Raw genomic sequence first — 27,475 nt, forward strand, 5'->3', positions numbered from 1 at the left:
ACACCAGAGAACTCTCCCTCTCCATGTATATACAGACAAATGGCTGTATGAAGACACAGCAAGAAGGTGGTGGCTGTCTGCAAACCCAGGAAGACAGGCCTCAGGAGAAACTAACCTTGCCAGCACCTTGATCTTGCACTTCCAGTTTCCAGAAATGTGAGAAAATTGATTTCTGTTGTTTAAGCTTCCCAGTCTGTGACAGTCTGTGATGACAACCTAACCACGGTAATACAGATTAATGTAATTTTCTTTTTCAGAAAAATCACGCACTACTAGAAATTAGAGATCAGTTGTTGAACGGGAATTTATAGTTGGCCTGAAATAAAGTAATAGTGTCTAGTTATTACAATTGACGGGGCTCAATACTTGATGGTATGATGGTGTAAGGGAGTGGGAGCTGTGAATTGTCAGAATATGTATGTATGAGGCAAAGAGAAAAAAAGAGAATTAATGAGAATGTGTGTGTGGAGGAGACATGAATTCAAGTTGGAAGATGTATCAGTCTCTTAGGGCTACTATACCCCAAACTGAGCGGCTTAAACAAATGAAATGTATTGTCTCACAGTTATGTTAGTGAAAAGCTTGAGATTCAAGTACCAGGAAGGTGTGCTTCTTCTGAGGGCTATGAGGAAGAATCTGTTCCACAGCTCTCCCTTTGTTTCTAGCGGTTTACTTGCAATCTTTGGCATTCCTTACTACATAGAAGTAATATCCCAATCTCTGCCTTCATTTTTACATAACATTTTCATATTTTCTTCCTGTGTGTCTCTTCACATATGTCCTCTTTTTATACTGACACTAGTCATAGTGAATTAGAAGTCTGCGCCAATAGCTGTCATCTTAAGTATAACATCTGCAACATCCCTATTCCCAAATAAGGTCACATTTCGAGGTACTTGGTGTTAGAATCTCAATGTGTGAATTTCGACAGGACACGATTCAACCCTTAACAATAGAACATGGGAATCAGTACCTTCTTTGCTGAAATGTTCTTTCAGTTATCCAGATTTGCACCTCTGCAAACCTTTTGTGTACCTTTGTGACCAACATTCATGCTATGACATTACAGATTTCTCTTCTACTATAGGCATGTTTTATACTTGGTAGTGTTTTTTGCTTTATACACTTCAATTTTCTCTGCAGAAGTGTGCATAACTCTTTAAATTACTCAATCTAATAATCGTTTCCCCTACAAAACTTTAAAATAGATGGTGGTAGCTCTATGTGATGAAAGTATATATTCCCCTCACTGTTCACTCAGTGTTTATAATGACCCTTCGTTCACCTTTTGAACTGCCCTTTTTTATAATCACTGGAGAATAGGTATGTGTTTCATCATCAAGAGAGTTCAGCAAAAAAAAGGAAGCCAGTGGGTGGGACTCTTACAGGATCTGGCTGGTGAAGTACAAACTAATTTCCTTCACTTTTTCTGAGCACTGTCAATTTTTTATTAACTTTTAGTATAAATTTATTTTTACTATAAAGTTATTAAAACTTTACTTCACAGGGAAAATGTAAAATATATAAAACAAATAATTCAGTTACTTATAATCTCTAAGATACACACTAAGATGAACATATTTAATATTTTTATTTCCAGTTTCTTCCAGTGCTCCTCCTTCTCTTTCTTCTCCTCCTCCCCTTTCTTCTTATTATATATTTTCCTCATAACTAGCATCAAACTATTTCTAGCTTTGTTTTCCCATATATTATTCATTGTGAGCGTTTCCTGATAGCAACTTAAATTATTGAAATTTAGGTTTGGCTGAGTGTAGCAATAGCAAAAACAAAAGCAAAACAAAATAAAAACTATCAAAATTAAAATGTTTTTCTAAGGAAAAAAAGTTAGTTTACAATCCACATTGCGTGCTTCCTAGTGTCAGGAATCAGGCTCCTTCTATCTTGTTCTCCACAGGAAATTTCCATTGCCAAGCTCATGCCATAGTCTTAGATGGCCATTGAATCTCTAACTAGCATATCTAGCTCTAAGTAGTATATGTTAATATAAGAGTTGCCCTCTTCAGACTGGTAAAATTTCACTTTCCCACCTCTATTCAGAGGTGAACACCCGTGCTCACTTTCCTACATGCTGACTCTATGTCAAAACTTTGTTAACACTTGTCTTGCAGCATGATACCATCTTAGATTGAAAATCAATAATACAACTGTAGAAACGTTCTTCCATTAGTAAGTTTATGCTTCCATTATAAATTTAGCCTGTTAACTGTGAAATAAATATTTTTTTAAATCCTCTTATACTTAGGATATATACTCTTTAATATTAGAATTTGGGCAACATAACCTGCATCCATTTGAAAATTTATTTTTCACTGAAATATGAAGGGCAGTTTTATAAAGCACACCTTTTTAAAGGACACGAGTGAAGTACTTAACTTTATTAAAGCAATGGGCCTTTCAATTAGTTTGATAAAAAGGCTGTCAAAATTTAACTTTCTCAGTGTTGAAAGAATAATACTACTAAGGTAGAGAATTTAGCGATTGTTGAAATGACTAAAGCTTCTAGCTACTTTATTTCCTAAGGAAAAAGTAGTATCTCAAACTAACCATTTCACTCACTGTAAACAGTATGTATCCAGTCACATAATTGGTACCTACAGAGCAATGTGGGAGAATGCATGATGAATTGACATCCAACAAAATTGCTTTAAAAGTGGATATTATGACTTTAAATATTTTTCTTGCAAGCCCATTTCTAGCACTACTCCATGTGATAAAAAATGAAACACTGAAATAGCACATTACTACTGTTTTTCTGCCTTATTAGACAAGATAAATTGTGTAATCTTCTTTCATAGCACAAAGTGAGTAGAGAGTCATTTAATTACCTGTGAATCAAAGCAATTTAGGCGACTCTTTCCGATCATTATCACAGAGATTCAAGAAACCGAAATGCTTAATAATCAATAACAATGTCAGCCACAAAACGAAGTTAAGCCCTTGCAATTTTCATGGCATAGTAGGGTTCACTGTTTGGCCAAGTAGGATTCCATTGACTGCAGAAGTCCTCCGCAAGACTCTCTCCTCTGACACAGTTCCTTACTCCCTTGGGTAGTGTTTGATCCTATTTCTACTCTTGCACTTATCACTGCTTAGTTGTTTTTTTTTTATTCTCTATATGTAGTCCATTTTAGTTGGCAAACATTAATAGCACAAGTGCGATTTATTGATATATGCATATTCCTAATACCTAGAAGTATATCTGCCACATTCTGGGGAGCAAAATACGTTTATTTGAAAAATAAGTTTTAAAAACATTTACACTTTCCTCTACAAACCTACTTGCAGTGAACGTACTAGTTATGGGAATTTCCTTATGATTGGGATTCTGAGGACGAGCCTATTAACTTCTTTAGATAGTATGTGCATTATGTTGCATGTATTCTATTTGTGATAAGTAATAACAAATTCTTCTCCCAAAACAGCAACAAACACAAAATCCACGTCAACAGTAAAAGTCCTGTTGAAAATAGAAATGTTGAGAAAAAGGTTTTTATTGTTTTAACAGTCACAGAACATTTTAACTTACTGAAGCATTCAGTGGTCCTATACTTGAAACATAGTCTTATCATGTTTAATCAATTATTCTTGTTTATAAAAAAAATTCATTCAGAGCCACCTTGTTGTGCAAAATATCATTTTGGGAAATGCTACCTTAATTGTATTCTAATGTATGTAGCAATTGGCTCTTTTCTGTTTATTCTTCCAAACATTTATCAACAACCAACACTGTGTTAGGCTATGCAAATAAATAATATCTCTTTACCTTCAGTTACATAACGTGATAGCACATTTGAAACAAAAATGAGAAAATGAGATAGAGAAATGCATGAGTGCTACATAGGCTTCAGCACACTTGATCATTTGAATACGCACTATCCTTGAAGTGCAGTATCTTATCCTTGTGTGCTGAATTCATATTCTGACTTAAAAATCAATTATTTATTAAACTATAATTCAGTCATTTTTATTAAAGTCTATTTCTTAATTATTTGGAGACACTCTAATTTGGTAATTCTAAAACTCTTAGAGCAGTGGTCCCCAACCTTTTTGGCAACAGGGACCAGTTTCGTGGAAGACAATTTTTCCATGGATCCAGAGTGAGAGGGGATGGTTGTGGGATGATTCAAGTGCATTACGTTTATTGCACACTTTATTATTATTATATTATAATATATAATCAACTAATTATACAACTCGCCATAAAATAGAATCAGTGGGAGCCCTGAGTCTGTTTTCCTGCAACTAGATAGTCCCATCTGGGGGTGATGGGAGACAGTAACAGATCATCAGGCATTAGACTCTCATAAAAAATGCAGCAACCTAGATCCCTAGCATGCGTAGTTCACAATAGGGTCCATGCTCCTATGAGAATCTAATGGTGCCACTGATCTGACAGAAGGGGGAGCTTAGGAGGTAGTGTGAGTGATTGGGAGCAGCTGCAAATACAGATGAAGCTTCACTCCCTGGCCTACTGCTCACCTGCTGTTATGTGGCCCAGTTCCTAATGGACATGTACCTGTCTGGTCTGTGGCTTGGAGGTTGGGACCCCTGTGTTAGAAGATGTGTAGAATTTTAGGGAATATACAACCCTTAAAAATCTACTCACATGTATAAATATCCTACTGGGTGGCAAACTTCAGGTTAAAAATTTTTATTTAAGGGATACATTAATATCTCCATTTTTCGTAGAAGAAAATAAAGTTCAGAAAGGCCAAATAATTTTTCCATGGAAATCAGCTAAGTAGAAGGGTAGAATTCAAAGCCAAGCTGGCTAAGCCTTGGTTCAATGTTTATTCCCCCAGACCAGTGGTGCCTCTTCCCTATCATGCTCCTGAGATGGTTTAATTTTTTTCTATTTTTGTTAGAAGACTTTTTCATAGTGCTGTCTTATGTTAATAAGAAATAAATAAGCAACAATTTTAGATTGATTTAATTATTACAATTGTATAGAGGGAGTTTTTTGGTAGAAAAAATGCCTGAGGGATTCAATGCCTTTAGTATTCATTGATTTGGGTTGTGTTTTCATTGATGAGGACATCATTTTGTTTTCCTGGAGTATTTTTTGAATAATAATTTAATCCATACCTTTTGACTCTTAGTTAATGATTTAAATCGAATAGATTCACAGATTATTATCAATATGTTAGCATTGGCTAATATAATTTTCCAGTTTTGCCGCTGCTCTCAACACATCACTTCTGTCCCCTGAACAGAATCAGGCAATTATCTAAAGACTTATTTTCTCCAGCTGCCCTGAACTAAGATCTCCAAAGATGAACAATTAAAATTAGATGGTCTACTGATCTCACGATGATTTTTATTTTCACCTCTTTACTATTTATATGGGATGCTAGAACTAGAATAAAGATAATTCGCGTTATGAGATCAGTATAATGAGTCTTTTAGAAAGCATGTAGATTAATGTTGCATTTTACATTGCTATATGAAAAAGGCCACAGGATGTACAGTGAAATCCCAGTTCTACCCCTACAAAATACCTGTGCTTGAAAACATGTTTAGCTTGCCTAACGCTGTTTTTAAAATCTGTACAAGAAAGATAACAATGCCTATTTCAAAGAGTTTTATTAAGCATGGAAATAAATGCAATAATGATTTTTTTTTTTTTTTTTTTTTTTTTTTTTTTTTTTTTGAGACAGAGTCTCGCTCTGTCGCCTAGGCCGGACTACGGACTGCAGTGGCAATAATGATTTTTGTCTTTATATGTAAGTACTGTAGTTGGCATTTAAAGATGCTAAATAAAGTGCAGTTCCAATAAATATATTAGAAAGTTTTTTCTCCCAAAGATCTTTGATAAAAGATTATTATATATTTAAAAGAGAAAAACTTCATCCAAAGATTCTGTATAGGTTTGTTGGCTAAATCTTCTGAGAACTCACCACATCCTCATAGTGAAAGCATGTTTACATTGTCCTCCACAAATGCTAAGGAGCAGTTACTGGTGTTTTTATACAAGTATGGGCTCAAAAAGAGTGGTTCCTATTTTGGTTTAATTTATAAACCAGTTGATACATAAGTAGTTTCTTGGGGGAAAATATATTACTTACACATTTTCTATGTAGTAAACATGTATATGTATATGTGTGGGTGTGTATCTAACTACTTTGTTGGAGTGATTCCTATGGTTTGGAGCTGCAGGGCCCAAGTTGATGCAAAAATCTACATTTTTGAGTAAACTCCCCATGACTAGAGTAAATTTCTCCAGTATTTGAGAGTTCTTCATTTCCTAAAGCTATACAAACATCAGATATCAAGTAAGGATCAATAATGTAATTTATAATGAAATTGCTTTCCCAGCTATTAATGTTAACTGTATCATCTTCATATAGCCTTATAACTCATTTGTACTATTCCATTTTCCTCTGTTCCTTTTATTTTCACTTCCCTTCTAATGTTAATCTCTTTGTACTGATTTCTGAAGAGTTCATTTATGATTAAAGATATTAACATTTTGTCTAGAATTGCAAATATATTTTTTCTCATTCATTTTACTGTGGTGTTTTACTTTTTAGTTATACAGAAGTTGTATATTGAAATATAATCTTGTTCTGTTTAAAACAAAACAACAAAAACACATACATACACATTTTTTCACTATAAGGAGAAAGTCTAACTTATGTTGGGTTATATTTTGCTAGTGTTTTTGTTTTCTTAGAGAAGCTGATAATTTATTTGTGTTTGCTTTGAGGTTAGAGTTAGCCCACATTGCTGATAACATAGTCAATGGACATTTTAAAATTCACAAATACATTTAAGCTGTGTCTAGAGGTGATTTGAAATATACATTACATTTTGAAATAGTTTATTTTGTCCAGAATTCCAAAGTGTTACAAACTCTCATTTCCAGAAATCTACTCTAAAGACTTGATATAAAATAGGAAAAAAATACAAAAGTTATTCATATACCAATTAATTCCTTCATACAAGATTTAAGTACCTGCCACATTCTAGACCTAAGTCTAAATTCTTGGATGCAATGATAATTGTGAAACCTTTATTCACTTTGAACCTAAGTCAGGAACACAGGCATGCTTCTCACTCTACTTCTTCCTTACGGAATAACAAAACAACTTCACAGTTGAGAAACAAGCTACCTATAGTATGGCTTGCCCCAGTCATGAAACTCTTCCTTAGGTTCCAGAATATTCTCTCACTCTCCACCTAATTACAAACTCTTGAAACCATGAGGGCAAAAAATCTAATTAATATAAACTTTTTTTGGCTCCTTGTGCATCTATTTTGTTTTTGACAATAAAACCCAATTTCCTTTTGTGGAATCACGAAGTAACCTTTAACTATAATCAGGTTGGAATATTAATCAAGGTGTGGTGCTTATGCAAGAAGCTACAAGGGACCCAGTCTAGGCAGACTGATTGTCCTTTCTCCCTGGAATCTAGATTGTGAGCAGAGAAAGCTAAATCAGAAAATGTTTGGAACTCATCTACTTAAGAAATTATGCTATGATGAAATTGTCTATTCGTTTTGCTTCATTTTGTTTAACCTAGACCTGTGGTGGCTATGATTATTGATTTTTACAGAAGTCGGTTTTCTAGACTTTGTGAGTTCTCCTCCTAAATCCTTCCATTGATTCATTTCTGTTTTGTATTACTCAGAGTTGATTACTGTTGCTTGAAAACAAATAATTTCATTGAATATTTTTTATTTCCAGATTTGCTGTCTATTCTTGCACTCTCATTTATTCTTCAGAGATGCATTTTTATTTTTCTTGATGCCTTATGAATAAACCATCACTGTTACCCCCAAACAGATTTAACTTGATATCTCTTTCAGAATTTCTGGCCCAGAGTTCCTTCTTAGTCAGTTCTATGAGCTTCACCTCCTGGCAACAAATACCAAGTCTATACCCAAGTCAGGGAAATCAGTGCTTTGTTCAAAGTCTGGTATTAAATGTATACGAAAAATTTATAAGAGGATATAAGAACAAGATGGCAGAATAAAAATCTCCACTGATCATCCTTCCGAGCCCCCTGCAAGACCACCAAGTTAATGACTATCTACACAGAAAAAAAAAAAAAAAAAAAACAACTTTGTAAGAATAAAAAATCACTGAGCACTCACAGTACCTGGCTTCAACTTTATATTGCTGAAAGAGGCACTGAACAGAACAGTTCTGAATCACCTATGACACCTTCAGGTCATGTTTTCTTGGATGGTGTTAATGCCACTCCCAGCAGCAATGGCATGGTGCTGAAAGCATCTCTGGGTACTCCGGGAAGCAGAACACAGCAATTGTAAGGCATTGAACTCAGTGCTACCCTGTTAGAGCAGAAAGGAAAATCTCAGCTGATGCCTGCCTATGGAAGGAGCATTAAACCAGGCCTATCCAAAAGGGGATTGCCTATCCCAGTGGTTTGAACTTGAGTGCCTGAAAACCTTGCCAGAGAGGGCTAAAGCACTCTGTGTCTCCAAGTAACTTAAAAGACAATCTAAGCCACAGGTACTGCAAATTTTAGGTGAGTCCTAGTTCTAAACTAGACTCAGAGACAGTGGATACATGGCGGGACATGTGACATACTGAAACAACAGCTGGAGGAGACCAGGGAGTGCTGGCATCACCCCTCCCCTAACTCCAAGCTGTACACCTCCAGGATCTAAAAGATATCCTTTCACTTGAGGAGAGGACAGGGAAGAATGTGAAGACTTTGTCTTGCATCTTGGATACCAGCTCAGCCACAGAGGACAGAGCACCTGGTCAGAGTAGTGGGACCCCCATTTCAGGCCCTGGCTCCAAGATAATATTTCTATCCACACCCTGGGCCAGAAGGGAACCTGGTACTTTGAAGGAAAGGACCCAGTGCTGGCAGCATTCATCTGCTCACTGAAGAGCCCTTGGTTCCTGAATACCAGCAGAGATACCCATGTACTACACTGAGGGCCTTAGGTGAGTCCCTGAGACTTGCTGGCTTCAGGTGATACTCAGCACATTAATGGCTATGGTGGCTATGGAAGAAAACTCCTTTTGCTTGAGAAAAGCAGAGGGAAAAGTAAAGGGGACTTTGTCTTGCACCTTAGTTATCAGCACAGCCATAGGGAGTTAGAGTACCAAGCAGGCTCTTGGTGTTCCTAATTCCAAGACTTGACTCTTGGACAGCGTGACTGGACTTTTCCCTGGGCCAGAGGAGAGTCCACTGCTCTGAAGAGTGAGCCTCGGATCAGGCAGCATTTACAAATTGACTTAAGAGACCTTGGACCTTAAGGAGCATCAACTGGGATTCTGGCAGTATTCCTAGAAGCCTGGGTGGCAGTGGCTATGGTATGAGATTCTTCTGTCTTTTAAAAGGGGAAGGAAGAGTGGGAAGGACTGCATCTCATAGTTTGAGTACCCACTCAGCTGTGATACAATAGAACACCAGGTAGACTTCTAAGGTATTTGACACTAGTCCCTGATTCCTGAACAGAATCTCTGGACCCCACTTGGGGACTTCACCAACGTGAAGGGAAGGACACAGCCCTGGCTGGCTTTGCCAGCTGCTGCTTGTAGAACTCCAGGGACTTGAGTGAACATAAGCAGTAGCCAGCGAGTGGTTACAGCAGGACTTGGGTGAGACCTAGTGCTGAGCTTCCTTCAGGTCTGACTCAGTGCAGTCATAGTAGTGGTGACCACAGGGGTGCATGTGTCAATCCACCCCCAGCGTTAGGTGGCTCAGAACAGGAGAGAGAGAGACTCTGTATGTTTGGGAGAAAGCGAGGGAAGAGAACAAGAGTCTCTATCTGGTAATCCAGAGAAGTCTCCTGGATCTGGTCAAAGATCATCAAGGTGCTCACTCTATGAGTCTATAAGAACCACAGAGTTACTGGGTTTGGGGTGCCCCCTAAAGCAGATATAGTTTATATCACAACACCCAACTCATTTCAAATATCTGGAAAGCCTTCCCGAGGATGGCTACAAATAAGCCAGATGATGAAGAATACAATAAATACCTGACTCTTCAATGTCCAAACACCAAAGAACATCTACTAGCATTAACACCATCCAAGAAAACATTATGTCACCAGATGAACTAAATAAGGAACCAGGGACCAATCCTGAAAAAACAGAGATATTTGACCTTTCAGACAGAAAATTCAAAATAGCTGTGTTGAAGAAACTCAAATAAATTCAAAATAATACAAAGAAAGAATTCAGAATTATATTAGATCAATTTAGCAAAGAGATTAAAATATTAAGAGAAATCAAGCAGAAATTATGAAGCTGAAAAATGCAATTGGCATACTGAAGATTACATCAGAGTCCTTTAATGGTAGAATGGATCAAGCAAAAGAAAGAATTTGTGAGCCTGAATACAGGTTATTTGAAAATACACATTCAGGGGAGACAAAAAAAAAAAAAAGTAAAAAACAATGAAGCAAATATACAGGGTCTAGAAAATAGTCCTGATAGGGCCAGTCTGAGTTATTGGCCTTAAAGAAGAGGTAGAGAAGGAGATCGAGGTAGAAAGTTTATTGAAAGGGATCATAACACAGAACTTCCCAAAACTAGAGAAAGATATCAATATGCAAGTACAAAAAGGTTATAGAACACCAAGCAGATTTAACCCAGAGAAGACTACAAGATGTTTAACAATCAGACTCCCAAAGGTCATTGATAAAGGAAGGATCATAAAAGCAGCAAGAGAAAATAAACAAATTACATACAGTGGAGATATAACACATCTGGCAGCAGACTTTTCAGTTGAAACCTTATAGGTCAGGAAAAAATGGTATGACATATTTAAAGTGCTGCAGGAAAATAACTTTTACCCTAGAATAGTGTAACTGGTGATGATATCCTTCAAACATGAGTGAGAAATAAAGACTTTCCAAGACAAATAAAAGATGCTGGATTTCATCAATGCTAGGAGGATATTAATGAGCAATATATAATCACCTGAAGATACAAAACTTTCTGGTAATAGTAAGTACACACACACACACACACAAAAACAGAATATCATGACACTGTAACTGTGCCATGTAAAGTACTCTTACTCTAAGTATTATAGAAAGACTAAATCATAAACTAATCAAAAATAACAACTACAACAACTTTTTCAGTCATGGTCAGTACAATAATACATAAATAGAAACAGAAAGTTAAAAGTTGGGGAACAAAGTTAAGGCATAGAGTTTTTATTAGTTTTCTTTTTGTTTGCTTATTTGTTTATGCAAATAGTGTTAAATTGTTATCAGTTTGAAATAATGGGTGTTATAAGATACTATCTGTAAGCCTCCTGGTAACTTCAAAACAAAAGACACAATGGATACACCAAAAACAAAAAGCAAAAAAACACATCATATCAACAGAGAAAATCACCTTCAGTAGAGGAAAACAGGAAGGAAAGAAGGAAGAGAAGACCATAAAACCAGAAAACAAATAACAAAATGCCAAGAGTAAGTCTTTAATTATCAATAATAATGTTGAATGTAAATGGACTAATATCTCCAATCAGAAGACACAGACTGTCTGAATGGATGAAAAAATAAGACCCATTGATCTGTTACCTTCAAGAAACACACTTTGCCTACAAAGACACACATAGACTAAAAATAAAGGGATGGACAAAGATATTCCATGCCAATGGACACTTAAAAAGAGTAGGGGTCGTTATATTTATAACAGACAAAATAGATTTCAAGGCAAAAAAAATAAGAAGAGATGAAGATGCTCACTATATAACGATAAAGGGGTCAATTCAGCAAAAAGATACAACAATTTAAAATGTACATGCACCCAACACTGAAGCACCCAGATATACAAAGGACATACTATTAGCACTAAAGAGAGAGATTAGCCCTGATACAATAATAGCTGGAGACTTCAATACCCCACATTCAGAATTGGACAGATCTTCTAGACAAAAAAATCAGTAAAGAAACATCAGACTTTATCACACTGTTAGACCAATGGATCTTATCTGACCACAATGGAATAAAACTAGAACTTAATAAAATGAATAACGAGGAACTTTGAAAACTATACAAAGTTTATTTTTACTAAATACCATGGAAATTAAATGATATGCTCCTGAATAATCAGGGGGTCAATGAAGAAATTAAAGAGGAAATTGAAAAATATATTGAAACAAATTATAACGGAAACACAACATACCAAAATCTATAGGATAAAGCAAAAGCAGTACTAAAATGGAAGTTAATAGATATAAGTACCTACATCACAAAGAGGAAAAACTTCAAATAAACATTCTAACACTACATCTTAAAAATCTGGAAAAGCAAGAGCAAATCATACCCAAAATTAGTAGAAGAAAAGAAATAATGAAGATCAAAGCAGAAATAAATGAAGTTGAAATTTAAAAAATACAAAAGATCAGTGAAAAAAAAGTTTTTTTGAAATGTTAAACAAAATTGACAAATGTTTAGCCGAACAAAGAAAAAAAAAAAGAGAGATGATCCAAATAAATAAGATAAAAAGTGAAAAAGGAGACATTTCAACTGATACTGCAGAAATTTAAATGATCATTTGTGGCTGCTATGAGCAACTACGAACCAATAAATTGAAAAATCTAGAGGAAATCAACAAATTCCTAAGTACATTCAACCTACCAAGATTGAAGCAGAAAGAAATTCAAAACCTGGACAGACCAATAACAAGTAACAAGATTGAAGCCATAATAGTCTCCCACTAAAGAAAAGCCTGGGACCAGTGACTTCACTGTTTAATGCTATCAAACATTTAAAGAAGAATTAATACCAATTCTATTCAAACTTTTCCAAAAACTAGAGAAGGGAGGAATATGCCCAAACTCATTCTACAAGGTCAATATTGCCCTAATACCAAAATCAGACAGACACATAAAAAAAGATTTAAAGAAAGGAAACTACAGGCCAATATCTCTGATGAATATGGTTGCAAAAATCCTCAACAAAATAGTATCAAATTGAATAAAACAATACATTAGAAAGATTATCTATCAAAACCAAGTAGAATTTATCCCTGGGATGCAAGGATGGTTCAACATATGCAAATCAAACAACGTGATACACCATATCAACAGAATGAAAGATAAAAACCATATGATCATTTCAATTGATGCCAAAAAAGCATCTGATAAAATTCAACACTCTTTCATGATAAAATCCCTCAAAAAATGGGCATAGAAGAAACACACTTCAACATAATAAAAGTCATATATGACAGACCTACAGCTACAACTAGGATCATACTGAATGGGGATAAACTGAAAGCCTTTCCTCTAAGATGTGGAACACGACAAGGATCCCCACTGTCAACACTTTTATTCAATATAGTACCAGAAGTCCTACCTAAAGCAGTCAGACAAGAGAAAGATATAAAGTATATTCAAGTTGGAAAGGAATAAGTCAAATTAACCTTGTGTACATATGATATATTATATTTGGAAAAGCCTAAAGACTTCACAGGAAAACTATAGAACTATTAAACAATTTAGTAAAGTTGCAGGATACAGAATCAGCATACAAAAATCAGCGGCATTTCTGTATGTCAACAGTGAACAACGTGAAAAAGAAATTAAAAAGTAATCTCCGCCACACACAAAATTAAATACCTAGGAATTAACCAAAAAAGTATAAGACCTACATAATAAAAACTATAAAACACTGATGAAAGAAATAGAAGATGACACCAAAACATGAAAAAAAAGTCTTCTGATCCATGGGATCAGAAGAATAATATTGTTAAAATGTTCATATTACCTAAAGCAATCTAAAAATTCAATTCGATCTCTGTAAAATATCAATGATATTCTTCACAGAAATAGAAAAAAAACTATCAAAATTTATATGGAACCACAGAAAAATGCAGAATACCCAAAACTATCCTAAGCAAAAAGAACCAAACTGGAAGTAATGTAATTACCTGGTTTCAAATGATACTACAGAGCTACAGTAACAAAAACAGCATGGTACTGGCATAAAAACAGACACATAGAGCAATGGAACAGATTTTAGAATCCAGAAACAAATCCACACAGCTACAGTGAACTCATTTTAACAAAGATGCCAAGAACATACACCAGGAAAAGGACAATCTCTATGATAAATGATACAGGGAAAGAAATCTGGGTCCGTATCTATCACCACATACAAAAATAAAATTAAAATTGATTAAAGATTAAAATTAAAATCGATTATATCTGAGACCTCAAACTAAAAAACTACTGCAAGAAAACATTGGGGAAAATCTTCAGGACATTGCTCTGTACAAAGTTTTCTTGAGCAATACCCTACGAGCATAGGCAGCCAAAGCAAAAACAGACAAATGAGATCACAAGTTAAAAGCCTTCTGCACAGCAAAGAATACAGTCAGTCAACAAAATGAAGTAACAACCCACAGAATGGGGGAAAATATTTGTAAACTACCCATCTGACAAGTGATTAATAACCAGGATATATGAGAAACTCCAACTCTATATGAAAAAGTTTTTTAATCTGATTTAAAAAATGGCAAAATATTTGAGTATACATTTCTCAAAAGAAGACATACAAATGGCAAACTGGCATATGAAAACGTACTTAACATCATTGTTTGTCAGAGAAATGCAAATCAAAACTACAATGAGATATCATGACACCCCATTTAAAGTGGCTTATATCCAAAATACAGGCAATAACAAATGCTGTAGAGGATGTGGAGAAAAGTAAATCCTCATACACTCTTGGTGGGAATGTAAACTAATACAACCACTATGGAGAACAATTTGGAATTTCCTCAGAAAACTAAAAACTGAGTTACCATATGATCCAGCAATCCCACAGCTCAGTACATACAAAAAAAAAATTGAAATAGGTATACCAAAGAGATATCTGCATTCTTATGTTTGTTGCAGCACTGTTTACAATAGCTAATATTTTTAAGCAACCTAAGTGTCCATCAACAGATGAATGGATAAAGAAAATGTGGCACATAAACACCATGGAATACTATGCAGCCATAAAAAAGGATGAGTTCATGTCCTTTGCAGGGACATGGATGAAGCTGGAAACCATCATTCTCAGCAGACTAACACAAACACAGAAAACCAAAGACCATATATTCTCACTCATAAGTGAGAGTTGAACAATGAGAACACATGGACATAGGGATGGGAACATCACACACTGGGGCCTTCAGAGGGGTGGGTTCAAGGGGAGGGATAGCATTAGGAGAAATACCTAATATAGATGATGGGTTGATGAGTGCAGCAAACCACCATGGCACATGTATACCTATGTAACAAACCTGCACGTTCTGCACATGTACCCCAGAACATAAAGTATAATAATAATTTAAAAAAGAATGTGTGGTACATATACACAAGGGGGTACTATTCAATCATAAAAAAGAATGAGATACAGTCATTTGCAACAACAAGGATGGAACCAGATATCATTATGTTAAGTGAAACAGGCCAGGCACAGAAAGACAAGCATTGCATGTTTTCACTTCTGTGTGGGATGTAAAAATCAAAACAATTGAACTCTTGGACATAAAGAATAGAAGGATGGTTACCAGCAGTCTGGAGGAGAAGTAGGGATGGTAAATGGGTACTAAATAATAGAAAGAATGAAAAAAAACTACTATTTGTTAGCACAATAGAGTGACTATAGTCAATAATAACTTTATTGTAAATTTTTGAATAACCTGAAGAATGTAAGTGGACTGTTCATAACTCAAAGCATAAATTATTGAGGGGATGGATAATCTGCTCCCCATGATGGGCTTATTTCACATTGCATACCCCTATCAAAACATCTCATGTACTCCATAAATATATACACCTACTGTATACCCACAAAAATTAAAAATTAAAAGAAAAAATAATAAAATGTAAAAACAAGGATATAATAAATCTATTCACAGAAGAAAAACATGCATCTTTCATAAAAGTCAAAATGAATTTCAGTATCATCTTCTGCCTCTCCTCATGACCCTGCACTTAGCATTCTGCTCTTACCAATCATCATCCCCAAGTAAATTGTTTCACTTGTGACTCCATGCACTTGCAACATCATTCTTTCAGCCAGAATATACATCTCTCTTTTCAATCTCTGTCTACAAATTCCACTACATATATATATATATATATATATATATATAGTGGAGATATATATATATAAAAATATAGTGGATATATATATATAGTGGATATATATATGTATATATATCACACATGATAAATATATAACAATTTATGGGATTCTTTACTATTTTCCAGGCACTGTGCTAGATTTATATGGATTATCACATTTAAACCTCATAAAAAATACTGTAACATATAAAACTTACTTTACAGATGAGGAAACTGGCTTTGTGACACTATGGGGTGGAGAAGTAGTAGAAATTGGATTTTGAGTTGAAGCAGATGTAGCCTACAGATTGTGCTCCTAATAACTACCAATAGCTGTTTTTTTCATGCTGTCAGTGGTTACTTATTTATGTGTCTACGTCTATGAAAATTATAATTACATTTATACTGTATTTAATTGTGCATATAATGTTTTCATTAAGACTTTGAGTAGATAAGTATCTTCTCCAGCAAAACTTACCTGTCCTTATTAATATTTTTCAATTATTTTCTCATGAGCAGAGCAAGTGTATCATACCTTGTTTAGTCATACTTAGCTTTTTATATCTCCGCCTTTAACATTAAACTTTAAGCTTTTTAAAAGTAGACAATCAGAACAGAAAACCAAACACTGCATGTTCTCACTCATAAGTGGGAGTTGAACAATGAGAACACATGGACACAGGGGAGGGGAACATCACACACCTGGGCCTATTGGGGGGGTGGAGGGCTAGGGAAGGGATAGCATTAGGAGAAATACTTAACGTAGATGACGGGTTGATGGGTGCAGCAAACCACCATGGCAAGTGTATACCTATGTAACAAATGTGCACTTTCTGCACATGTACCTCAGAACTTAAAGTATATTTTTTTAAAAAAGTTGAGACTTAGTTATGGCAGGAAAGATGTAGGATACATAGTAAGAGGCATGAGCACCCAAGACAGATATGTTTGGGAACATACTTCTACTTGCTACTGGTGTAACTTGAAAACAAAGGCTTCTCTCTAACAGTTTTCTCATCTGTGAAATGAGGATTACAATATTTACAATGCAGAGTGTTAAAGAGTGTCTTGCCCACAGCAGGCTCTGAGTCATTGTTTGTTGAATCAATGTTATTTAAAAATTCAATATAGACTGCTAATCAATTTTAACTTACACTCATTTCCTATCTCTTTAAGATCTTGCAGAACGTTTACTGTTTAAGATCTTGCAGAATATAACATTATGTATTTTTATATTGTGCAAACTAATGATAATGCAATGTCTCATCTTCTAACATGCAGCAAAGGTAACATATAAAATACTTTAATGCCTACATGTGAATTAATGGAAAGGAATGAATTAATCCTCAGTGTAAATATATATATATAGGATTACAACCATTCATTTATTCTTAAAAATATTTTGGCTTGTGAACCATAGCTTTATGTTTTTCACTGGAAAGTTGTAAAAAAATTTAATCTTTTTTTGCACTACACTTCTGCGACTTTCCACCTATTTGCCCCTCTTTCAGATATAAAGCTGCTGCATCATCTTGTGTGGTTAAAGTGTGACCAAATGTCATTTAGCAAGGAGAGAGGTGAAGTGACATGAAGCATGAAATTTAAAAATGAATGTCACACCACTTTTCTTATTGAATTCTTAGCATTAATTCACATTGCAAGCAACTCAATGCAAATATTTTGTTGCAAAAGGAAAGAAAGTAAGGGACTTTCTAATATTTACTGCAGTTCTGGAAAAACTTGAAAAAATTGTTTTTGAAAAAATTACACACAGGCAGTTAGCTATTAACTGGAATTCAATGTCTGGCAATTCTGTTTTATACACACACACACACACACACACACACACACACATCTCAGCCAATTATATCCATGTTATTAATTTAGGGCACTGAGAAATATCTGACACCACACAGAAGTATGTATGTGATTCAGATTGATTTCTGATGGGATCTCCTAAGGCTACAGGTTGGTCCTTTAATTCTGCCGCTATTTTATCTACTTCCTCCTGCAGCAAAATATCTGCTTTCTGCTTGCTTTATGTCCACATTATTTATTACTTTACTTTAGAAGAGTAATCAATCTAAACCAATTGAAGGCAAAAGAAACTAAAATATGTTTGTAACATCTTGGTCAGACTGGGAAGAGATTTCTGGAGATATTTCCAAAATAGATATTCATAAAATCATTTTTCAACAATTCACACACTTTCGAATGTGAGTTTAGTAGAAAAGTGTACATAATGCTCATTGTTCCAATCTCAATTATGAGTTTATTTTTAAGCTCCTTGGCTTATACAATGAAATCCTATCTTTAATCCCATACTTGCAAAACAAGTTGGCCTCTTGTAGGAAAGACTTAGTGTGTCTATTTCTACATTCTCTTCCTCTCAAGTATGAACATTTTAGACATCTCTCACAATTTAAGAGTTACGTGAATCATAACTTCAATCCACCCATTATGCCATCTAGGCATAACCATTTAATCAAAGGGTTCAACAAGGGCACTAGGTATCAAAGGTTTGTCTTTGAAGGAGCATATGCAATGGGATGTTTAAATTTTTCTTTGCTTGTTAACACCCAGACTCACTTCCTCAAAGCTATAAATCAAGTTCTCAAATGCCCTTCAAAATGTTGGATAAAAAGAATGAAAGCAACACTTTAGTCCCCATTGCAATTCACAGTTAGACAGTAAAACATAGGATTTGTGGCCAGGCAAACTTTTGATTTTTTGAGTTTCAGATCAAACTCAGTGCTTTCTGCTTTACTTTGGGCATCATTCAAACCAAAGCTTTGTGGCTTTTAGACCTTGTAAAGCACCAGGTAAAGAATCAAAAGATAAAAAAATTCAGTGCAAATCAGATTGGTACATGCATTTTAAAGGAATATACTCCTGTATATCAAAAGGATATAATGTAAAGTTGCTTGTTTCTTTTGTTTTTGTAAGAAAAAACACAATTTTTCTTTTACAATTGTAACTTACTATTTGTTTGCTAAGACATAGTTTTGATATGAAGAAATTTACAACAAGAAAATTGAATTGGTAAGTTTCTGTAAAGAAAAAAGTGACCATAAGTTAACTTTGTAAAAGTTCCTTCCAATTCTATATAGCTTACGAACTTTTCTATGTATTTGATGAACTGTTTTCCTTAGATTTAAATAACTATAAAATTAAGATTAAAAATTATATTTTAATTTGCATAAAAAATAGTATGGTTTTGTTTATGTTTTTTAGTTAACTCAATTTATTCTTTAGCAGGCACCATGCATTATAGAAGTGTGATATTTTTAATAAATTTGTACTAAAATATGCACTGGGCTCTTTAAAATGATGTTATTTTAATGTATTCCAATAAGTTATCAAATTCGAGTTATTTTACTTCCAAATAAAGAAGCTTTTCTACAAAGTGTGCACAGAAAAGTACAGCTTTCATTTACTTTTCTCAAAAATAGGAAAGTATTCTAATCTAATGTGCCTAGAAAGAATATTCATAACCATTTCATTGAAGCTAGCTATATCTTATACCAACTTTAAGACAAATTAAATATTCAGACAAGAGTAGAATAAAACAACAGTATTCACTGCAGAAGAGTTGAATTTTACAGAGTAGTTCTATAGCTTTGGAAAAATATTGACATAAACTGAGATAATTGAGTGATATTTAACTATACAACTATAATACATTTGACTCAAAACAATACACCTCTATGTGTATTCTTTTGTTTAATGGAAGCATAAGATATATTTTTAGCATGTCCTTTGTTTCAAGATTATCAAGGTGTGTATTATACATTCCATTTGTTTCAGTCGGTGTTGGATATATACAGACAAGATACAAAGCTAATCTATTACCTTACCATGGATAGTGTAAAAAGATATTAGACTTATGGGTCAGAGGCAAAGGATTGTAATATTTATGGCAAAAGCAGTAGGCCAAATGTCAGCATGACGCTCATACTGCTTCCCCACTTCCCCATGTCCCTTGAGTTCCATAAGGGTAGTACAGTGCCTATGATGGATACCAGCACATGCAATGGGTTGTACTAACACAAAGAAACACTGATGTTGCAAGATTCATCATGTTTATAGTAAATGAAAGGATGCTTGTGCTTTGTCCAGGGAGAGATGCTCCCTTATCCCTCATGGTTGCTCCCTGCAAATATAACCCTAAGAAATGGCCAGGTAAAAAGCAGTCAGAGTCTTGCTTTTTTTTTTTTTTTTTTTTTTTTTTTTTGCATACCCACCAATATTCTATGTTCATGACATCCACTCTGCAGATAAATTCAAGTCATCTTTCTTATCACTACTAAAACAATGGTTCTAAAATCCAAATATCACTCTACCAGGAATATTCACTCCATGTATTTTGTTACTTCAAAATCACTACCGCATAACTATGGGAAAAAAAATCTACGAAAAGAAATTCAAGAATTAACTTCTCAGGAAAAAAATGGCCTTATACTCTAACAATGAATTTGGTGCTGAATCTTTGTTTCATGGGTTGTTTCATTAGAAGAGGTGCATATCTTTCTTAGACCTTATTTTATCATTTTAGAGTAGTGGTATAATGTTCTGAGTCTCTCACTAAACAAGGAGTTTTTTTTTTTTAATGCTATGTGCAATGAACATTTATTCAATGATTAGTAACTAACTGCAAGGCAGCATGCTAAAACTATGCATGGATTGCCTCATTTAATCTTCATAAATTCCTATGAGGTAGATAATGTTATTATGAGAATTTTACAGATGAGGAAAGCAAGGGTCACAGAGATTAAACAACTTGATGAAGGTCTCTTAGATAGATGGTAATGAAGTCAAAATTTAAACTTAAGGTAGCTCCAGAGCCAGTTTTCTTGACAACTACATTATACTCTCTCCTTTAGAGTACAAGAACCATTTCTCTGTTTTTGTATCTTCAACATCTAGCACAATGCCAGAATAGTAATGGATATTTTATTAATATCACAGGATAAATACATGAATAAATAAATGAAGAGTTAATTAATGTATAACATTTTATCAGAATCCAAGCAAGAGTCTGAAATTCAAAAAATAATAAATACTGTATTTGAATCAAAACATTCATTCATAAAAGGGAAAATATAATATTTTTAAATTTGGGAGTATTGCCTTATAGATTATCAAGATTTGAAAGATTGCTGTTTCAATAAATATAAATGTCTTATGTTAAATAGATAAAATTCAAAATATAGCCATACAAAAAATGAGTGTGCAAAATTCCCTTTGCTTCTTCCCCCCAATATTTAGCAATCTCAGAGATGATGACCATAAGCGCCTAACAAAATACATCATCAGATTCCGCATCTGTAAAATGAGGATGATGAGCTATACAATCTCAAAGGTCTCTTCTACTCATCATTTATAATCCTCTACTTAATTTATGTCATATGTTTTACTAGTGAACAGCATGTTTTCTTTTAGTTCCAGACTAATTTCCTTCTTTCTGTAAGTCTATAGACCAATGCTAATTGTCATGTCTAATCTATAGGCCAATTTGTAAGGAAGAAGAATCCATTGAGGACTTTGCAAAACATCCATAATCTGAAGAGGGTAGAGTGAGATACCTGCTGTGCCTGCACTGAAACAGCTGTTTCAAGAACCTTAAGCATCTGGGGAAGTCATCCAGAGAAAGGCCATCCACTGTGCTTTTGATCTCTCCACTTCAGGCACTGAAGCACTGCCTGCCCATATGCTTGGTGAGTCTCGCCTGTTAGACCCACGCCTAGGGCTAGCTTTTTCCCTTGTTTCTGCCCAGGAAATGGCACTACAGTGTTTCTAAAGTATAAGTGAAATAAAATTTCATTATGTTGGAGTTCTGTATAAAACCAAGGTTAGATAATATTACATTAATTAGGCTGAGTAACTTGGCATTATGTTTTATAAGTGAACAGAATAAAAAATAAAATAGAAGTAATGGAAAAAGTTTAAAAACAAGTGTGCAGAACTGGATGGTTTTTAAAATTCTTCCCAAATATTGTTTCTTTAATTCCAGTAAGAGTCCGCTGAGTATACCCATAACTACTTGCATTTTATAGATGAAGAAACTGATTATCAGAAAGTTGCTTAGGAGCCTATAATTAGTAAATCCAAATCTCTTGTTACAAATGTCTTACCATTTTCCCCAATTGCACAACATTTTAACATGCCCCAGGAGAATACATGTACCCAAGACATATTTCACTTTCTAAAATAAAATGTATACATATACTGAAGGCAAATATTTTAATGAAATAATGAATTTGCATGGGTTGTCATTTAAAAGACAATTTTATGTAACATTTCTAAGTGTCCAAAGTTTTCTCCCAGAAGATACAATTTTATCGTTTTATTCTCTATCGGTGAAAATAGTTAATTAAGAATATGTTGAGCACTGATGATGCATACTGAACAAGAATTATTTGATTCATACAAAAATTACACTTAAAATTTTTTTTCTACTTGTATTAGTTCATTCTCACACTGGTATAAAGAACTACCTGAGACTGGGTAATTTATGAAGAAAAGAACTTAATTGACTCATAATTCCAAGGCTTAACTGAAGCATGTCTTGGAGGCCTCAGGAAACTTACAATCGTGGCAGAAAGTGAAGCGGAAGAGTATCAGAGCAGGAGAGAGAGGAAGAGCGACGTGGATGTTGGGGGGTGGGGGGAGCGGCGCGTGCCACATACTTTTTTTTTTTTTTTTTTTTTTTTTTTTTTTTTTTTTGAGACGGAGTCTCACTCTATCGACCAGGCTGGAGTGCAGTGGCGCGATCTCGGCTCACTGCAAGTTCCGCCTCCCGAGTTCACGCCATTCTCCTGCCTCAGCCTCCCGAGTAGCTGGGACTACAGGTGCCCGCCACCCCGCCCGGCTATTTTTTTTTATTTTTTTTTTTTGTATTTTTAGTAGAGACGGGGTTTCACGGTGTTAGCCAGGATGGTCTCGATCTCCTGACCTTGTGATCCGCCCACCTCGGCCTCCCAAAGTGCTGGGATTACAGGCTTGAGCCACCGCGCCCGGCCCGCCACATACTTTTAAACCATCAGATCTCACTATTATGAGAACAGCATGGGGGAAATCCACCCATATGATCCAGTCACCTCCCAACAGGTTCCTCCCCCAACATTGGGAATTACAATTCAACATGAGATCTGGGTGGAGACACAAACCCAAACCATATCACTACTTTTCAAAGATTGTCACAATTGTAGTGCAGTTCAAACTGGATATATGATTTATGCACATTAAAAATCAAGTTACACGTTAGATAATTATTTGGGTCCTTTATCTATGTTAAAGGTTTATTACATCTAGAGAATTATCAACAACAATACTATTTTCAAAATACTATTACCAGGAATACTATTTTCAAAATTCTGTTGTGGAATAAAATTTATACTATGTGAAAGCTCGATAATACTTGCTTGCCTCTTGTATCTTCTAGGAAAATGTTTATATATTAATATGAAAATCATATTGTATATAAAATATGGTAAAAAGTTTCACCATGGCAATGGATATTAGCTGAATACTTGATTTTTAACAGAATCTTATACTTGAATCATTTCGGACATACTTGGTATTAACAAACCAGAATCTCAATGAAAACTGCTTAAGAGAAGAGGAAATCTATTTTCTCAAATTTTAAATCCTGAGTAGATGATGCTTTAGTGTTTGTTTGTTTGGTTTTTTTTTCAACTTGTAAAAAGTGTCAACAAGTGCCTGATGTTTTTCAGTCTCTCTGCTCTTCCATCTGTAATTCTGACCTTAATCAAAGGCTGGCTTCTCTTCCATTTGCAGAACAAGCCATCAGGGAATCCATGCTTGTCTACCTCTGTGGCTGGGTTCTGGGGAGGTGGGCAGTGTTGGGAAGGAAAGCAGACATTTCTCCCTAAACCTATGAAAAAGTCTAGGATATCACTCTATCAGGACTAACTCATTTTTTTATTCCCATCTTTGTCTGAAACCACTGATTGCTTACCTTAGTCTTCTTTTGTTCACTAATTCTATCTCAGATAAATAAAAAGCAGCATTTCCCAGATTTTACAGGCATATGACCACTGAGTTGCAAATAGAAGGTATTGGCTGGCTCCAAAATGTCATCAAAAGTGAAAAACTCCCTGACATGCATATTTTGCCCTTTGCACTTTCTTTTGTTCCTGGATGGAAGGTGGGGATGGTGCTAGATGTCGAGCTGCCAATCTAGGATTTTGAGGACACAAGTGTGAAAAATACTTTTTGGTAAGAATGGCTGAGGAAGGAAGAACAAGCTTACTATTATGATGAATTATAGAGCTGTTGTACCAGTACCAGAATGCCTAGCTCTACTCTTGTTACATGATGAAAAAACTGGTATTTGTTTATATTACTATTATTTGTGTTCTCAGTTATGTGCAGCTGAATGCACTACCTGACAAGTTTTCTTTTTGTCTTTTTTTTTTTTTTTAAACGGAGTCTCGCTTTGTCACCCAGGCTGCAGTGTAGCTGTGCGATCTTGGCTTACAGCAACCTCCGCCTCCCGGGTTCAAGCGATTCTTCTGCCTCAGCCTCCTGAGTAGCTGGCACTACAGGCGCATGCCACTATGCCTGGCTAATTTTTGTGTTTTTAGTAGAGATGGGGGTTTCACCATATTGGCCAGGCTGGTTTCGAACTCCTGACCTCGTGATCCTCCTGCCTCAGCCTCCCAAAGTGCTGGGATTACAGGCATGAGTCACCGTGCCAGGCCAGAGCAGGTGCACGGCCACCAGCAGGCGGCTCAAGCAGGAGCAGGGCCTGCTAACTGGGTCACCAGTAGACCAGAACCCACACGCATCCAGAGGCCCAACTTCTCCGGTGACCTGACGGTGTTTTCTTTGAATAGGTCACCCTATCCAGGGAGAATGACGGAAACTGGTTGGCTTTTGTTTGTTCTGCTGCTTATCATTGTGGTAATTTGCTTATATAGATACGTTTTAAAATTAGGCCAATCATGACCCACATAACAAAGACAATACAAATGCTAGAAAATGGGAGAAATCCAGATTCTATTAGAAAACAGGAACGACAGATATGATGAGATCTGCCGGCACTGGGAAGGCGATGTCCTGGGTTACAAGTCTGTGGCTCAGATCGCCAAGCTCGAAAAGGCAAAGGCTAAAGAACTTGGCACTAAACTCGGTTAAATGTATACTATTGAGTTTTCTGTACATAAAAATAATTGAAATAATACAAATTTTCCTTAAAAAAAAGAAAAAGAAATAATGGGTAGTGCCTCAAAAATGTCCATTATAATGCCCATGTAAGGTAATTTATTTAACTGATTTTTATTTTTTTTAGTTTAATTATTATATTAATAATATTTTATTATTAAAAATAAACTATTTTAAAATTACTGTTTATGTTTATTATTATTGTAAAAATGTGTGAAACTTCTTCATTGATAAATCATTATAAGAGTTTATGTTGGGAGACTGAAGTTGAAAGATTACTTGAGCCCAGGAGTTGGAGGCTGCTGTGTGCTGTGGCTGGGCTTATGAATAGTCACTGAACCCTAGCTGGGGCAATATAATGAGACCTCATCTCAAAAAAAAGAAAAAAAAGAGTTTCTGGTTTTTTTTGTTTTTTTAAAAATAAGTTGCTAGAAAGGGAATCACTAGCATAAATTGAATGCTATTAAAGATTAATATAGTTTGCCAAATTAATTTTCATAATGTCCGTTTCAATTTGAATTCCTAAGCGTAAGTGTATAAGAATGCTGATTCTGCAGGAGGATCACTTGAGCCCAGAAGTGCAAGGCCACAGTGAGCTATGATTGTGACACTGCACTACAGCCTAAGTGACAGAGCAAGACCCTGTCTCTAAAAAGGACAAAGAATACTTATTGAAAGCACACTTAACATTATCACCATTTATTTCTGTCATAATATTTTGCCTAATTGCATATACAAAAAAAATATTATTTTAATTTCTTTGATTTAAACAAATATTTTAAATTTTATCTCCTTCTTGTGAACAATCAGTTTACTTCCTTAATTCATTTTCTAAGGATTTCATTGTCTTTGTCTAAGGATTTCCTTTGTCTTTTTTATATATGCCAGATGTTTTCCCAGTTCCTTAACTTTATTTTAAAATTTGCTTCTACTATTCTAAATTACAAGATTTCAGTTTTGGTATAGTCCAAGCTTGTGAAGCATCTTTTGTTGTTTCTTACATAGCTTTTATATTTTTAAATTATAAGTCACTAAATATTTCTATTTTCTTCTACTAAGGTATTTTTTGAAAAATAGTCCATTTCTGGTTTGCTTATTGTCTCTCTGAGTACTTGATTTATCTTCAACTAATTAAAAAAAATTTATTAACATAATCAACCTAAAGGAACTATAGAAAATATTTTTCCACCATATTTAGGAAGATGTGTATTAAATTTTAATATTCCCTGCTTTCTAAGTAATATGAAATATAAATTTCCAAGTCCTCATTTAGCTCAATTGAATTTTACATTATGATGTTTTAAATCGTAATTAGTTTATATAAATTAATAAAGCATTTTATTCATTCCTCATGACACCTATTTTTGTTTCAGATCTATAGGTCTGAGAGCATATGTTTATTATTAAATTACTGGTTTATATTGTGGTCAAGTTATATTCCTCTATTTGGAATAATATTTTATAATTTGGTAAAAATTTCTTTGCAACCCAAAAGAAATATTGTTTGTAAATGTTGCGTGCAACTTTGAAAAAAATGTTTATTCTTAGTATCTTTTGAGGCATCGATAGATATCCAGACTGATATCTCTTAGATCAGTTCATAAATTGTGTTGGTTAAGTTTTCCATAATATTGAATGTTTACCTAGTAGATCTATTATTTTCTAGGATTTAAAATTTTCCTTATAATTTTGGTTTTATTTCATTTTGTTTTGATAGAAAACCATTTGATAGAAAATGTTTTTTTATTAAAAACTACCCTTGTGTTGACAGCTAATGTGAGACATTGACCGCGGTTCTTATCTTCTTAGTTTAAAAATCACACTTGGAGAAGAAAAAAAAAAGAATTTAAGCAAGAGACACGCAGCAAAGGAGATGCAGCACAGAGTAATTTATTGCAAAAGCAAACTAATACTTTGAAAATTAACTGCAGAATAGACAGTACACCCTGAGAGAGGGAGAAGGATTCAGGGCAGACTGCTCCTAAGGATGAAACAGCAAAGATTTGAACTAGGGAGACTTCCTTTATGGGAGTCTCAGTTGATTATTCATAAGGGGGTGAAAAGGGGTGTTACTAGTAAGCACGTTCTGTGTGGTCCTCTGGGTGGCACATGCGCAGTAGCTGTACATATTTGTTCAGCCATCACACGTCTCATTTAAATCACAAATCTCCACCCAGGGGTGCTTTTTTTTTTTTTTT

The 27,475-nt window shown here is 34.8% G+C and overlaps 1 annotated feature.

The window, feature by feature from the left end:
• Positions 21,422-22,020: an enhancer, noted in NCBI's record as "OCT4-NANOG hESC enhancer chr6:95050773-95051371 (GRCh37/hg19 assembly coordinates)". NCBI's record gives its function as "activates a minimal SCP1, AML or CMV promoter by ChIP-STARR-seq in primed H9 embryonic stem cells {active_cell/tissue: H9 hESC(primed)}" and the evidence as "EXISTENCE:reporter gene assay evidence [ECO:0000049][PMID:30033119]".

Source organism: Homo sapiens, chromosome 6 (assembly GCF_000001405.40).
Source record: "Homo sapiens chromosome 6, GRCh38.p14 Primary Assembly".
NCBI lineage: Eukaryota > Metazoa > Chordata > Mammalia > Primates > Hominidae > Homo > Homo sapiens.